General features: G+C 53.6%; 1 protein-coding gene across 5 annotated transcripts in view; it reads right to left on the bottom strand.

Moving 5' to 3' along the window:
- Positions 1 to 14,853, bottom strand: part of DNM2 (dynamin 2) — a 113,825-nt gene that overhangs the window by 55,279 nt on the left and 43,693 nt on the right. For all 5 annotated transcript variants that reach the window (NM_001005360.3, NM_001190716.2, NM_004945.4 and 2 more), the window contains exons 3-4: positions 3,997 to 4,146; positions 719 to 922 (exon numbers count right to left, since the gene is read on the bottom strand). In NM_001005360.3, coding sequence (NP_001005360.1) covers positions 719 to 922; positions 3,997 to 4,146 — 354 coding nt within the window. The remainder of the gene's footprint in view (positions 1 to 718; positions 923 to 3,996; positions 4,147 to 14,853) is intronic.

Below are 14,853 nucleotides of genomic sequence, written 5' to 3'. Positions count from 1 at the left end.
TCTTTCTAGCAAAGTCTCACCTCTGCAGATCAACTGCTCCCACGGGGGCTGAGGGCCTGGCTCTGTGCTAACCGTGTGTGTTATATGTGTGGCATGTGCATGAGACACTGGGGACAGATGGAAGCCAGAGTGAAGATCTCTGGTGGGTGCCAATTTGGGCATCAAGGGGGCCACAGCTGTGCCCTCCCTGGGGCCCCTTCCTGCTCACATTCTGCAGTGAGGGTTCAGTAGAAGGATCTGACTAGAGGGGCCCAGGGGTGTCAACTCGAAGGGAAATAGACGATCTCACCATGCAAAGATCAGAAACAACCCAAAAGTTCAACAGTCCTCACATCAGCTATCTGGGTTAGGACTGAAGTTCCCGTTCTGACTAAGAGGGGACCATGTCTCAGGGAGCAGAGTAACAGCTAGATGGGACCTAAGATCGCATCTGGGCGATGGAGCGCTGGGCCCTTCCTTCAGCCCTAGGCTAGCTTCCCACTCTGGCAACATGGGCACTGCCATGTCCAAGGAGGACCGTCCAACTGCCACACAGTGACTTCCCAGGGGATGCCCACCAGCACTGCTGGTTCTCGGAGGAAGTGCCATGTTCCAGGAGGCCTTTTCCTACAGCGGCCATGGATTAAAGAGAACGCCAGTGACTTGGAACCAAGGATGCTGGGCACATCCCATGCTCAGAGGCACCTGGAAGAGGGGACTGCCCTAGGCTCAGGGTTACCTTGGGGATCGACTTCCTTGGCCAGCTTGAGGGCGTCGGAGTTGGCCAGGTCCATGTTGGCGGGCGTGACAGCCAGAATGAGGCTGCTCTCCCGGCTGATGAACTGCAGGATCATGTCCTTGATCTGGTACTCGATGTCTGGAGGCTGGTCGCCCACAGGCACCTTGGTGATACCCGGGAGGTCGATGAGGGTCAAGTTCAACACTGGGAGGGAAACCAGAAGGAAAGGCATTCAGAGCCAGGAGAGGGGAGGCACAAACAGGCCCGCAGCCACCCAGCTGACTACCAAAGTTCCTGCGCGGGGCTCAGACTTGAGGATGTCGCCTGACACTCTGCCTGAACCACACCTTTGATCCAGTAACTCCCCTTCTAGGATCCCATCCTACAGATACCTTCTACCTACTCCATTTCAATGGCACAGTTCTAAATCAGGACAGTTCAGACTGGAATAGACCTAAATGACTGAATAAATTTCAGCCCATCCATTCAGCCAATACCAAAGAACCATTACAGACAAACAGATGAGGCTGGGTGCGGTGGCTCACATCTGCAATCCCAGCACTTTGGGAGGCCGAGGTGGGTGGATCACTTGAGGCCAGGAGTTCTAGACCAGCCTAGCCAACATGGCAAAACCCCATCTGTACTAAGTATACAAAAATTAGCTGGGCGTGGTAGCACACACTTGTACTCCCAGCTACTCTGGAGGCTGAGGCATGAGAAACACTTGAACCCAGAAGGTGGAGGTTGCAGTGAGCTGAGATCATACCACTGCACTCCAGCCTGGGCGACAGAGCAAGACTGTCTCAAAAAAACAAAAACAAAAGACAAATGGATGAGGCCAGGCGCGGTGACTCATGCCTGTCATCCCAGCACTTTGGGAGGCCATGATGGGTAGATCACTTGAGCTCAGGAGTTCGAAACCAGCCTGGGCAAGATGGCGAAACCCTACCTCTACCAAAAATATAAAAAATTAGCCTGGCATGATGGTGTGCATCTGTTGTCCTAACTACTCAGGAGACTAAGGCGGGAGGATCGCCTGAGCCCAGGAGAAGAAGTGAGCCAAGATCTCACCACTGTACTCCAGCTTGGCCAACAGTGTTAAACCCTGTCTCAAAAAAAAAAAAAAATAAATATATAATAAAGAAACATTCTGAGAGGCATACAAAAAAAAAAAAAAAGCATAGGCCAACGCAGTGGCTCACACCTGTAATGCCAGCACTTTGGGAGGCCAAGGCAGGCGATCACCTGAGGTCGGGAGTTCGAGACCAGCCTGACCAACACGGACAAACCCCGTCTCTACTAAAAATACAAAATTAGCCGGGTGAGGTGGCGCATGCCTGTAATCCCAGCTACTCAGGGGGCTGAGGCAGGAGAATCACTTGAACCCGGGAGGTGGAGGTTGCGGTAAGCCAAGATTGCACCATTGCACTCCAGCCTGGGCAATAAGAGTGAAACTCCATCTCAAAAAAAGCATAAGTGATTTTTATGTTATGCTAACAATTTAAGGAAAAGGAGTGATAAACACATACACAACATATACATAGATACAATCACAATTGCTTACATGTTTTTTGCTTACACATTTTTTTTAAGATAGAGGGTCTTGCTATGTTACCCAGGTGAAGTGCAGTAGCTATTCACAGATGTGATCATAGCTCACTGCAACCTCGACTTCCTGGGCCCAAGTGACCCTCCTGACTCAGCCTTTCAGGCAGCTTGAATGACAGGTGTGTGAAACCACACCCAGCTCATGTTTGCATTGTCATCTGAAGAACCTAAAATATGTGTGCAAAACTGGTTGACAAGGTAGGTTTTTGCGATATACCTTTCTGTAATTTTTGAATTCTGAGCCACATGCAGGTGTCATTTATTGAAAAACAAATTTAAAACTTATCGCAAGGAACCCATCATGGTAGCAATCTGTGCCTCTGGGCCAGAGGATGTCTATGGCCCCGGGCTGCTGTTTGAATGCAGAGTTTTAAAATCAGGATATTTGGCTGGGCAAGGTGGCTAAAACCTGTAATCCCAGCACTTTGGGAGGGGGATGCAGGCGATCACCTGAGGTTAGGAGTTCGAGACCAGCCTGGCCAACATGGTGAAACCCCATCTCTACTAAAAATACAAAAAAGTAGCTGAATGGGCTGGGCGTGGTGGCTCACGCCTGTAATCCTAGCACTTTGGGAGTCTGAGGTGGGTGGATTGCCTGAGCTCAGGAGTTCGAGACCAGCCTGTGCAACATGGTGAAACCCCGTCTCTACTAAAAATAAAAAAAATAAAAAATAAAAAAAAAATTAGCCAGGCAGGGTGGTACACACCTGTAATCCCAGCTACTCGGGAGGCTGAGGCCAGAGAATTGCTTGAACCCGGGAGGTGAAGGTTGCATTGAGTGGAGATTGCGCCACTACACTCCAGCCTGGGCAACAGAGCGAGACTCTGTCTCAAAAAAAAAAAAAAAAATTTGGCCGGGCGCGGCGGCTCACGTCTGTAATCCCAGCATTTTGGGAGGCCAAAGTGGGCAGATCACAAGGTCGGGAGTTTGAGACAAGCCTGGCCAATATGGTGAAATCCCATCTCTACTAAAAATACAAAAAATTTGCCAGGCGTGGCGGCAGTTGCCTCTAGTCCTAGCTACTTGGGAGGCTGAGGCAGGAGAATAGCTTGAACCTGGGAGGCGGAGACTGCAGTGAGCTGAGATCACACCACTGTACTCCAGTCTGGGCGACAGAGCGAGACTCCATCTCAAAAAAAAAAAAAAAAAAATTAGCTGGGTGTAGTGGTGCATGCCTGTAATCCCAGCTACTTGGGCGGCTGAGGCACAATAATTGCTTGAACCTGGGAGGTGGAGGTTGCAGCGAGCAGAGATCACACCACTGAACCCCAGACTGGGCAACAGAGCAAGACTCTGTCTCAAAAAAAAAAAAAAAAAACCCAGGATATTTTACAGAAGACTGGTTCTGGCCTCTCTTGAGGCACCAGCAGATCTGGCTGCCTTGAGCCAAGTGGTGGCTGCCCTTGGTAAAAGGGGGAAATGGCTGCAATCCCCCACCACTCCAAACAACTTCTTGGCATGCTCTTTCTTCAAGCTGAGACAGAGGTCTGGGTACTACATACCTAGCACAAGTGGGAAGATACAGATCAAGGGGCTATGTGTGTGTGAATATCAACTGTTTGTGAATGGGCACATGATACCCATGAGTGGAAGTACACAGGCTCACCCATAGCACTGTCCATGAACGACCAGAAACGGTCAGTGATGGGTCCCCACCCGTGCTGCCTACCGTGTGGCGAGTAGACTCGAAGGTTGATGGGCACTGGGGAGATGCCTTTGTTGGTCCCCGTGACCCTGTCGGTCTCTGCTTCAATCTCCTGCCGGACTTCATCAAAGTCTGTAAACTTTTTGGACTTGCAGTGCAAAAACTCGGCATGTTCTAGAAAGGGAAGAGAGATGCTGAAAATGAGAAAGAGCTGTGGGCAGGGTGCGCATGGACTGCGGGGAGAAATGCTTTGTTGAATGAAAGTAATGACCCAGGCTGGGCACAGTAGCTCACGCCTGTAATCCCAGCACTTTGGGAGGCAGAGGTGGGCAGATCACAAGGTCAGGAGATTCAGACCATCCTCACTAACATGGTGAAACCCTGTCTCTACTAAAAATACAAAAAATTAGCCTGGCATGGTGGCACATGCCTGTAGTCTCAGCTACTCAGGAGGCTGAGGCAGGATAATTGCTTGAACCCGGGAGGCGGAGGTTGTAGTGAGCCGAGATTGCGCCACTGCACTCTAGCCTGGGAGACAGAGAAGACTCCATCTCAAAAAAATAAAAAAATAAATAAAATAAAATAAAATAAAATAAAAAAGAAAATAATGACCCAATCATCGTCACTCTAGGAATTTGGGAGTGAAAGATTCGTTCTCATGACAAGGGTCTTGGGGGAGGCGGGGGTTCCTATAGACTGAATAGACTGAGCCTCTTTCCAGATCCTGAAGATTACGTTCCCATGTGGCACTTTGCAAACTGTTAATATACGTCATGACATATTATGAATCCCCCTCCCCCAAAAATAAACAGGTAGACATAACCAATGACCAAAGTTTCTGGGATTACAGGCATATGCCTCCACGCCCAGCCATTTATTTGTTGATTGACTGATGAACAGAAGAGGAAGCACCAGGATACATCACCCAGAGAGGGTGAGTCCATTTGATTAAGGTGATGCTGCAGAGCCTCCCTTGCTGTGGGTCCCAGTCAAGGGAGTTCGATGCCCAAGTCCTTGTGGATTCATGGTCCACCAGCACATTCCAGCTCCACAAAATCCCCAGGGGTATTTCTCATGGCACTCACTTGTCCTTCTTCCCCAAGGAGCCCACAAGGTAGAGGGAAGGGGCACCCCTGCCGCCTCCTCAGAGCTGGTCTTGAGTCTTTCTTTCTCCCCCTGACTATTCAAGAGGGCCCCCTACCTAGAGACAAATCCCCCAGGAGAAATGTTTTCTGGGTATAACCCTGAGTGTATATAAGACCCGGGGGTATCTGAAAGTCACAGCAAGACTGGGATGAAGGGGAACAAAATAAGTAATTGACAAGCAGTGTGGGTCCCACCAGGAAACAAGAGAAATCCAGTCCCGAATCACAGATTGAGGACAAAGCAAATATAAGGCATGTTCATCACGGAAGGTGGCTGCCGAGTACACAGGTGTCCACTGTACAAAGCCTTGACGTTTCCAGATGTTCGAATTTTCAGAGTAAAATGTTGGGGAGGGGATATCCCCAAAGCTCAGAGATCACAGCTACTGTAGTGATGCTAAAAATAAGGGGGAAATGGCTGGGCACAGTGGCTCACGCCTATTATCCAGCACTGTGGGACGCCGAGGAGGGTGGATCACTTGAGCCCAGGAGTTCAAGACCGGCCTGGGTGACACAGTGAGACCCCGTCTCTACAGAAATTTAAAAAATTAGCCAGGCATGTTGGCGCACACCTGTAGTTCCAGCTACTTGGGAGGCTGATATGGTCTGGCTCTGTGTCCCCACCCAAATCTCATCTTGTAGCTCCCATAATTCCCTTGTGTTGTAGCAGGGACCCAGTGGGAGATCAATGAATCATGGGGGTGGGTCTTTCCCGTGCTATTCTCGTGATAGAGAATAAGTCTCACGAGATCTGATGGTTTTAAAAACAGGAGTTTCCCTGCAGAAGCTCTCTCACTCTCTTTGCCAGCTGCCATCCGTATAAGATGTGACTTGCTCCTCCTTGCCTTCTGCCATGATTGTGGGGCTTCCCCAGCCCAGCTGTGTGGAACTGTAACTCCATTAAACCTCTTTCTTTTGTAAATTGCCCGGTCTCAAATACGTCTTTATCAGCAGCATGAAAATGGATTAATATCGGCTGAAGTGGGAGGATCATTTGAGCCAGGAGCTGGAGGTTGCAGTGAGCTATGATCTATGATCACACCACTGCATTCCAGCCTGGCGACAGAGCAAGACACTGTCTCAAAAAGAAAAACAAAGAAAGAAAGGGGTAATAAGTCACACTGGCAAAGAGGTCAGAGACCTGACCCACCCCGGAGATGCGAAGATGCGCACTGCCCTGTCGTTTTTAAGAGTAAAAAAATGAAAATGGCCTCAACGTCCACCAGGAGGAGACCTGGCGACGTGAATAACACAGCCATGCCATAAACTGCCTCAAGCAAAGGCAAAAAGGGAGATGAACACCCAGCCAGGTCTAGAATCTTCAAGGCAGAAAGAAGAGTGTGAGGAGTTTCACCGTCCCATCATGGCAACCGAAGAAACTACGGCACTCTGGCCAGGCCCTGCGTGTGGTCCCGTTGCGCCTCACAAGTCCCTTGACAGGTAGGCATCTCTAAGATCCCCATTTCAAAGATGACAAAACTGAGGCCCAGAGGGGTTAAGGGCCTTGGGCCAAGTTCCGTGATGGAGCTGGGACTTGGAACTCAGAAATTCTGGCTTCAGGTAATGGCTCCTAAGCCAGATAGCCTTTGTGAGGCCACTGGAAGGAACTTCGCCTCTTTGAAATTCTCTGCAGGGTCAGGGGGAGACTCAGTGGGCTCCGATGACTGAGGACCGTGTCCAGCACAGGCACTGGCCACCCAGATCAGGGCAATGAGGACATCTGCTGGAGGATTCAGGATCCCCACCCCCACCCCCAGCCCTGCTATCAGCTGACCCAGTTCCCAAGGACAGTTACACTCCAGCCTTCTGCAGGGACAAGGGGAAACACTCGGCCGCTCTTCCTGTAGCAGCCACTAAAAATGGAACAGCTCCCAACCCCCCACAGCAAATCTCAGTTCTCTTCTGGCTCCAGGACCCCAGCTTAGCCCCAAAAGAGACCATCTCCCTTCAAAGAGTGCAGGGGGACATGGCGTGGAAGATGGGCTGGTGGCAAGGACACAGGCCCTCTCCCTAGCAGGCCTCTGTCCCACCAAGTGTGGTGTCTACAAAGCCCAGCCCTACCTCCTCCTACTCCCAGGTCTGCCTGGCTACCACCTCTCCCAGGAAGACTTCCCTGAGTGGGGCATCTTGGCCTCTTCCTCATCAGAGCCAGCTCACTTTGGATTGTATTGATGGGGCCAGGACCTGCGGCTCCAGCACCCCAGAGCCCAGCATGTACTGGCAGCACGCTGTGTGCAGTAATGAGCTCAGTCTGTAGTCAGAGGGCCTGCCCAGGTCTCAGTCTACTGATCTGTAAAATGCGCATCATAACAGGCTGTATGAGGACTCAGAGTCAATACCTGCACAGGAAGAGCATAGCCAGCACAGCTACGGTCTGAGCAGCTGGTGGGCAGAAGTCCCCAAGGAATGATGTGGCAAAGACAGCACCAGGGGCAGTGGGCGCCATCGTTCCCCCAGCACACACAGGCAGGAGCCCAGAGAGGGCAAGCTACTCTCTCAAGTCACACAGCATCCCCACCTCCTGCAGATCTCTCTCCCCACAGCAGCTGCTCCACCCAGCCCCCTCCTCCCCTGCCTTCGTTTCCCCATAACACTTACTACCATCTGACAAAGGGTGAGAAGAAATCTAATATAGAGAGCTTTACCTTGAATGTCCATGCCACCAGGGAAGGGACGCCCATCTGCCTTGGTCATTGCTGTGTCCCCAAGGGCACACTCACGCATGTTAGGTGAGAAATGGAGGTTCTGCCTGCCCGGCTGCCACAGGCTTCCCCAGCAAGCTGAATCTAGGTGTCTGAGCTGCAAAAGGTTCCCCCGGAACCTCAGGCCATTCCCCAACGCAAGGACCAGGAAACGGGCCCAGGAAGGACCACCTGCCCCACCCAAGTCCGCCCAGTCAGGGGCAGACACGAGATGGGGCTGGAACCAGGCAGCCAGACTCACATGCCAGACTTTGGAGCACGGCACCTTCCCCGGTTGTCACATGCAGGCTGGGAACCAACAGGGGATCAGAGAAGACAGGGGCTGTTTTTTTTTGTTGTTGTTGTTTTTTTTGAGACGAAGTCTCGCTCTGTCACCCAGGCTGGAGTGTAGTAGTGCAATCTCGGCTCACTGCAAACTCTGCCTCCTGGGTTCATGCCATTCTCCTACCTTAGCCTCCTAAGTAGCTGGGACGACAGGCGCCCGCCACCACGCCCAGCTAATTTTTTTGTATTTTTAGTGGAGACATGGTTTCACCGTGTTAGCCAGGATGATCGCGATCTCCTGACCTCGTGATCTACCCGCCTCGGCCTCCCAAAGTGCTGGGATTACAGGTGTGAGCCACCGCGCCCGGCCAGCAGGGGCTGTTCTTTGTGATCTCTCCTCCAAGATCCTTCTGCTGTCGGCCAACCCCTCCATGTGGGCGAAGGATATGGACAGCAGGTGCCAGAAAACCGTTTCTTCCCTAGTGGGTCAGTGAGCAACAGAACCACACCAGAGAAAAAGGCCCAGGCACCGACCAGGTCTGCCGCAGCTGCCTGCCTTTCTTCACAGGGCTCCCTGGCATGGTGAAAGTAAATGCTGAATGCCAGGTCAACAGAGGTTTTTTGTTTGTTTGTTTTGAGACTGAGTCTTGCTCTGTCACCCAGGCTGGAGTGCAGTAGTGAAATCTCGGCTCACTGCAACCTCTGCCTCCCCGGTTCAAGCTATTCTCATACTTCGGCCTCCCAAGTAACTGGGATTATAGGCGCATGCCACCACGCCTGGCTAATTTGTATATTTTTAGTAAAGATGAGGTTTCACCATGTTAGCCAGGCTGGTCTCGAACTCCAGACCTCAGGTGATCCGCCCACCTCGGCCTCCCAAAGTGCTGGGATTACAGGCATGAGCCATCATGCCCAGCCCAATAGAGGTTTAAAAGCTTCCACCAGGCCGAGAGCAGTGGCCCATGCCTGTAACTCCAGCACTTTGGGAGGCTGAAGTGGGAGAATCATTGGAGGCCAGCCTGGGCAACATAGCAAGATCCTACATGTACAAAAAAATTAAAAATTAGCTGGGCGTGGTGGCGCAAGCCTGTAGTTCCAGCTACACGGGTGGCTGAGGTGGGAGGACTGCTTGAGCCTGGGAGGTTGAAGCTGCAGTGAGCTGTGATCACGCCACTGCACTCCAGCCTGGATGACAAGGGGAGGCCAGAGACCCTGTCTCAAAACAATGACAAAAAGAGAAATAGAGTGGAGGGCCTAGCCTGGGCCTCTGGAACGCTGCATGCGCTCAAGTGCTGGAGATGAGATGATTTTTTTTTTTTTTTTAACAATCCACTGGCCCAAAGAATCAGCCAGAGGCCTTAACACTGAGTTCCCTGTCAACTTGTCCACAGCAGCAGCAGCCGAGGCCCAGCCAACAAGCCACTGAGCCACCCCTGGCTCTGCCTGTCCCGGTCCCTGCCATCAAGCTGCACCCCACAGCCACCCTCTGCAGACAGGCATTTCCAGATACCAAAGCCAGTTCCTGTAATTCCTCGGCAAACTGCAAAGCATTTTGATAGCTCCACACACACCCCCACTGTCACCCGGCACCCTGAGCCAGGAGGGCTCCCTGGGAGGAGGGTCAGCCCGGGCCCCCTCAGAGAGGTTCGCAGCTGGCATGTGATCAGGCCCTGGGGACTCTGAGGGACCCAGCCTGGCACACAGCAGGAGTAAAGGATTAATCTGGGCAGTCATCCAGCAATCACGCTGCCAAGGCCAGGGAGTCAGCCGTCCTCGCCCACCACAGGGCCTCCTAACTGTGGGCCCACTGGTTGTACTTGCGGGTTTTTCCAGAGAGAGGTTCTGCCTCCCTCCCAAGCCTGTGTCCCCTACTGAAGCTGGAGCTCTGAGAGAGCAGAGACTTGGTGTGATCACAGTTCCCCCTAGCATCTCGTATACAGCAGCTGCTTAATTAAAATCCATGAAAAAAGAATCTGTGCTCTAACCTAGGAGGACATCACTCCCAGGAACCCCCAACTGGGGCCCCACTGTGCTAAACAGTCAATCCCCTGCACCTCAGGCCCTTTGAGGTGTCCCCAGAAGGGAGCCACAGGTGCAAGCTGCCACCTTCTCAGGGTCAGGGGGCCTGGGACATGAAGAAGCAGCCCCTTGCCAGAGGCCACAGTCACCTCTGGCCTGGAGACCCTGGAGGTCTTCGGAGCCTCCTGTTTCAAAGGAGCTTGTGGAGCCCCAGAGTGACCGAAGGCCCTTGGTCAGAGAATGGCCCTCCCTATCTTCAAAGCACACTGGTCACGTGCCCGCTGGCACTACTTAAGAATTTTGAAATGCCCAGGTCCTGCTGGGAAGACCTGCCTTCAGCCCAACAGAAAAGACAGCAGGGTTTGGGGAGGTGAGGAGAGGGAGAGAGGGAGGAGAGTTTTCGGGGTGCCTCGTGGTTTCACAGCCTAGCGACACCCAGCTCCGGGTTCCTACCCTTCTCTCAGCACCTCAGTTTCCCCAAAATGCAATGACACAGAACCCAGTGCCGGGGCTCCCATATGACTGCGATCAAATCCCATCAGGAGCACAAACACGGCTCAGCTGTTAGTCTCAGGGAACCCTCAGGGGCTGGGCTAGGGTCCCAGTGCTTTGCACACTGGGGCTCTGCCCTGGATCTTCTCACCGTTCCCCCAGCAAAGAACACAATGACGAGGCTGGCCCTGAAGGCAAGGAGAGGAGATCTGCCTTTCCCAAACCTGCTGTTGGCAGGCAGGACCAGGGGGAACAACTTGGGGATCTGCCACCATCAGGAGACCCTAGCTACCACGCCAGCAGGCAGGATCCACTCATGCAGGACTTTTGAGAGCCTTCAGCAGACCAAGAAGTGGGCACAGCACACAACACTTCCCATGCCCATTTAGCCCTTGAGTTCTCTCTAATCCGAGGCAATACGCAAATATCTCCCAGTCCAGGACAAATTGCCACTGGGAAGGTGTCAGCCTGGGCAGGCATCCCAGCCAGCCCACAGCCTGACGCACGCCAGCTTGGTCTGCTCTCTAGATACAAGGCTGCAGATGGAATGGCAGAGTGATGGACCAGGCTCACCAGGGGAAGATGCTTGGTAAAGTAACCCCCATCACTTCCCGCCCAGTAGGCAAGAAGGGGCACAGCACCAGCCCTTTGAGCTCGTTCACTCGGCCGTGCATGCGGAGCACCTGCTCGGCGCCAGGCCCTGTGCTGGGCAGAGCCGATCTGCATGCCTGTTCTCGTGTGCTGGCGCAGAGAGAGTCCATTAAGAAAAAACAGGCCGGGCGTGGTGGCTCACGCCTGTAATCCCAGCACTTTGGGAGGCCGAGGTGGGCGGATCACGAGGTCAGGAGATCGAGACCATCCTGGCTAACACGGTGAAACCCCGTCTCTACTAAGCATACAAAAAAATTAGCCGGGCGAGGTGGCGGGCGCCTGTAGTCCCAGCTACGCCGGAGGCTGAGACAGGAGCATGGTGTGAACCCGGGAGGCGGAGCTTGCAGTGAGCTGAGATGGCGCCACTGCACTCCAGCCTGGGCGACAGCGAGACTCCATCTCAAAAAAAAAAAAAAAAGAAAAAGAAAAAACAAGAACAGGATAACTCGTGCTGCCGGGGACCGGGGAACGAAGGCGGCAAGTGACCAGGTGCGGGTGAGCAGCAGACAGTGGCAGGTAGGGAACAGGGCGTTCCAGGCAGGCAGCACAGTGAGCACAGAGGCCAAGCAGTGGGAACCAGCAAGCTGGGCCTGAGAATCAGGAGGGAGATGGATGGGGGCAGTGGCTGGGGACCAGGAGGAGGTGAGGTCCCAGAGACTGGCAAGGGCCACAAGGCCTTGAGAAGGAGGCTCGATTTGATTCTGAGGCCAATGGGAAGCCCTGGAGCCAGGTCCTGACATCTCTTCCTTGGTTCCGGTGAGCACACCAAAGGCCAGTTCAAGGCCAAGGGCGGTGGGGAGGGGTGGTTCACAGGGCCTCACTGTGCACATTCCACACAGGAACAGTCCCAGGCACTCAGAGTTTACGGGGCTGCTTCCCAGTGAGGGCAGGGTTCACTCATGGGCCACCAAACTTCCTGGTGGTTATGGTCTTAGGTAATGTTTAAACTTCTATGGCTGGAAGTTATGGTTCACTGGGGATGGCTGGAATGAGGGCAAGCTGCGGGAACCAGAGGGGAACGTGGGCTGCGCCCTGGGGGCCCTGTCTTTGGACATCAGACCCCACAGGAAGAGACAGCATACCACAGCCAATGGGGTGCCATGGCCACGATGGCAGCGCCACCATCACCCCCATTTTACAGATGAAGCTACCAAGGCACAGAGAGGGAAGTCACTTTAACAAGTCCCGGGCCAGTAAAGGGTGGCAGCCTGGTTCTGAGTTTGGTCACAGAGAGCCAGCTGCCAATCCCTAGGAGCCACGTGGTCTGGTGTATACCCCACAAGGCCCCGCCGGCCCCAGCAATCACTGATGCCCGCAATGTGTTCATTTTCCTCTCCTCTTAGTAAGGCGTCCTACCTCCCACCCACCTCCCCCAGCAAGGGTGCCTATGCTGCTTAATGCCTTGCCTGGAAGACAGTCTAGACTGCCTGGCATCTGCCCGCACCACCAGGGCCAGGCCCCCATTGCCTCTTGCCTGGCGCCATGCCAGCCTCTCTGCCACTCCCTATCCCCCACTCCCCGCTTGCATTCTGGTCCCTGACTGTCCCTCCTGAACATGGCAGCCAGTGGTCTCCCGCCACCATGCATGCCACCCCAGCTCCCACTGCCTGAATCCTCAACATGCCTTCCAGTCCCAGTCCCTCCTGCCTTCTGGCCCCTCCCAAGCCTCACCACCTCCCCACACTGCTTTGCTAATGCTGTTTCCCTACCTAGAATGTTCTCTCTGGGCCCCCAACCCCAAGGTGAATCCAACAGACACTCACAGGCTGGGCTCGGGGGCTGGGACCATGCCAGGTGCTCACGCTGCCTCCCTGGAGATCAGCTAAGGCCCAGCACCAAGTGGGCACCTACTTGGAGCAATAAGAGATTGGAGCCTGGTCGGGCGCAGGGGCTCACCCCTGTCATCCCAGCATTTTGGGAAGCTGAGATGGGAGGATTGCTTGAGCCCAGGAGTTCAAGACCAGCCTGGTCAATATAGCAAGACTTCATCTCAATTTAAAAATTTGCCAGGCGCGGTAGCTCATACCTGCAATCTCAGCCCTTTGGGAGGCCAAGGTGGGCAGATCACTTGAGGCCAGGAGTTCAAGACCAGCCTGGCCAATATGGTAAAACCCCGTCTCTACTAAAAATACAAAAATTAGCCAGGCTAGGTGGTGTGCGCCTATAGTCCCAGCTATTTGGGAGGCTGAGGCAGAAGAATTGCTTGAACCTGGGAGGTGGAGGTTGCAGTGAGCCGAGATCGTGCCACTGCACCCTAGCCTGGGCCACAGAGCAGAACCTTGTCTCAAACAAAACAAAACAAAACAAAACAAAAAAGGAGACAGAGACTGAAAATGCCATGATCAGGCGGGGCTGAGGGGTGCAAGCTGGGAGGCAGGAAAAGGCCCCACCCATGTGGGACACTTCTGGAACTCCCTTTTCAACCAGCCCAACAGGATGCAACTATGCATCCACCTCCACCACAGCTGCCACACCCATCCCCCACCTGCCCCCACCCCTTCCAGCACCTACTCCTGCCTCCTCCAGGGCACTGGCCTCAGCACTGGCCCCTGTGGTCCCTTTTCCACCAACAGCCACAGGATCTGGTCAAGTCACACCTTGGCCTAAGGCCACATTCCCCCAAGAGGTGGCTTAAGGGTGGGCTTTAAAGACAATGTTCCCATGTGCCCTAAGGCAAGTGGTCAGGAAGCCTTGGCTCCCTCCTCTGTAAGGTGGGGACAGACATCAGGAACCCATCATCGTTCATCCGGGTCAGGTACTGGGTAGGCCTGCGCTCTGTGCTCCCTCCTGGCCAAGGCTCTCTGCCTGCTTCTCTCCCCTCCTCCCTGACATGTAGTAAATAACGTGTGCTTTAAGGCTAACAAGGTGGTGTTATTGTCATCACTGTCCAGACAGGAAACACAGTGGTGGTCCCTCCCTAGGAGCTGGGTTGGGAACCTGGGCAGTCTCCGCTCCAAGCCTAAACCAAGCAGGGCAGGCTCTCCCAGTGGTGTGGCCAGAGACTGGCAGCATCACCAGGGACTCATTAAAAATGCAGTTTGTGGCCGGGCCCAGTGGCTCACGCCTGTAATCCCAGCACTTTGGGAGGCAGAGGCGGGCAGATCATTTGAGCTCAGGAGTTCCAGACCAGCCTGGCCAACATGGTGAAGCTCTGTCTCTACTAAAAACACAAAAAATTAGCCGGGCGTGGTAGCTCATGCCTGTAGATGCTCAGGAGGCTGAGGCATGAGAATTGCTTGAACTTGGAAGGCGGAGGTGGCAGTGAGCCAAGATCACCCGCCACTGTACTCCAGCTTGGGTGGCAGAGTGAGACTCCGTCTCAAAATAAAATAAAATAAAAATGCAGTTTGCACATCTGTCCCCATCCTGCTCAATGAGAAACAGAAAACTACCAACACTGATTTCTATAGTGACTCTCAGGACTTTGGGGCTGCCCATTCCTGGCACAGCTGATTGGACGCCTGAACCCAGAGGTGGCAGCCCATTGGCCCATCGGTGGCGTACGAAATAGCAGAGCTCATAAAGAAGAGGTGGTGGGCCCATCGGCTGCTGTCTCTCACTGGAGACACGCCTTCTTGCCAGGTTGGGCGGGGCCAGAGGACGAAAGT

Source organism: Homo sapiens, chromosome 19, assembly GCF_000001405.40.
Source record: "Homo sapiens chromosome 19, GRCh38.p14 Primary Assembly".
NCBI classification, from domain to species: Eukaryota; Metazoa; Chordata; class Mammalia; order Primates; family Hominidae; genus Homo; species Homo sapiens.
The sequence above is the reverse complement of the archived record's forward strand: the minus strand, read 5'-3'. Positions and strand labels throughout refer to the sequence as shown.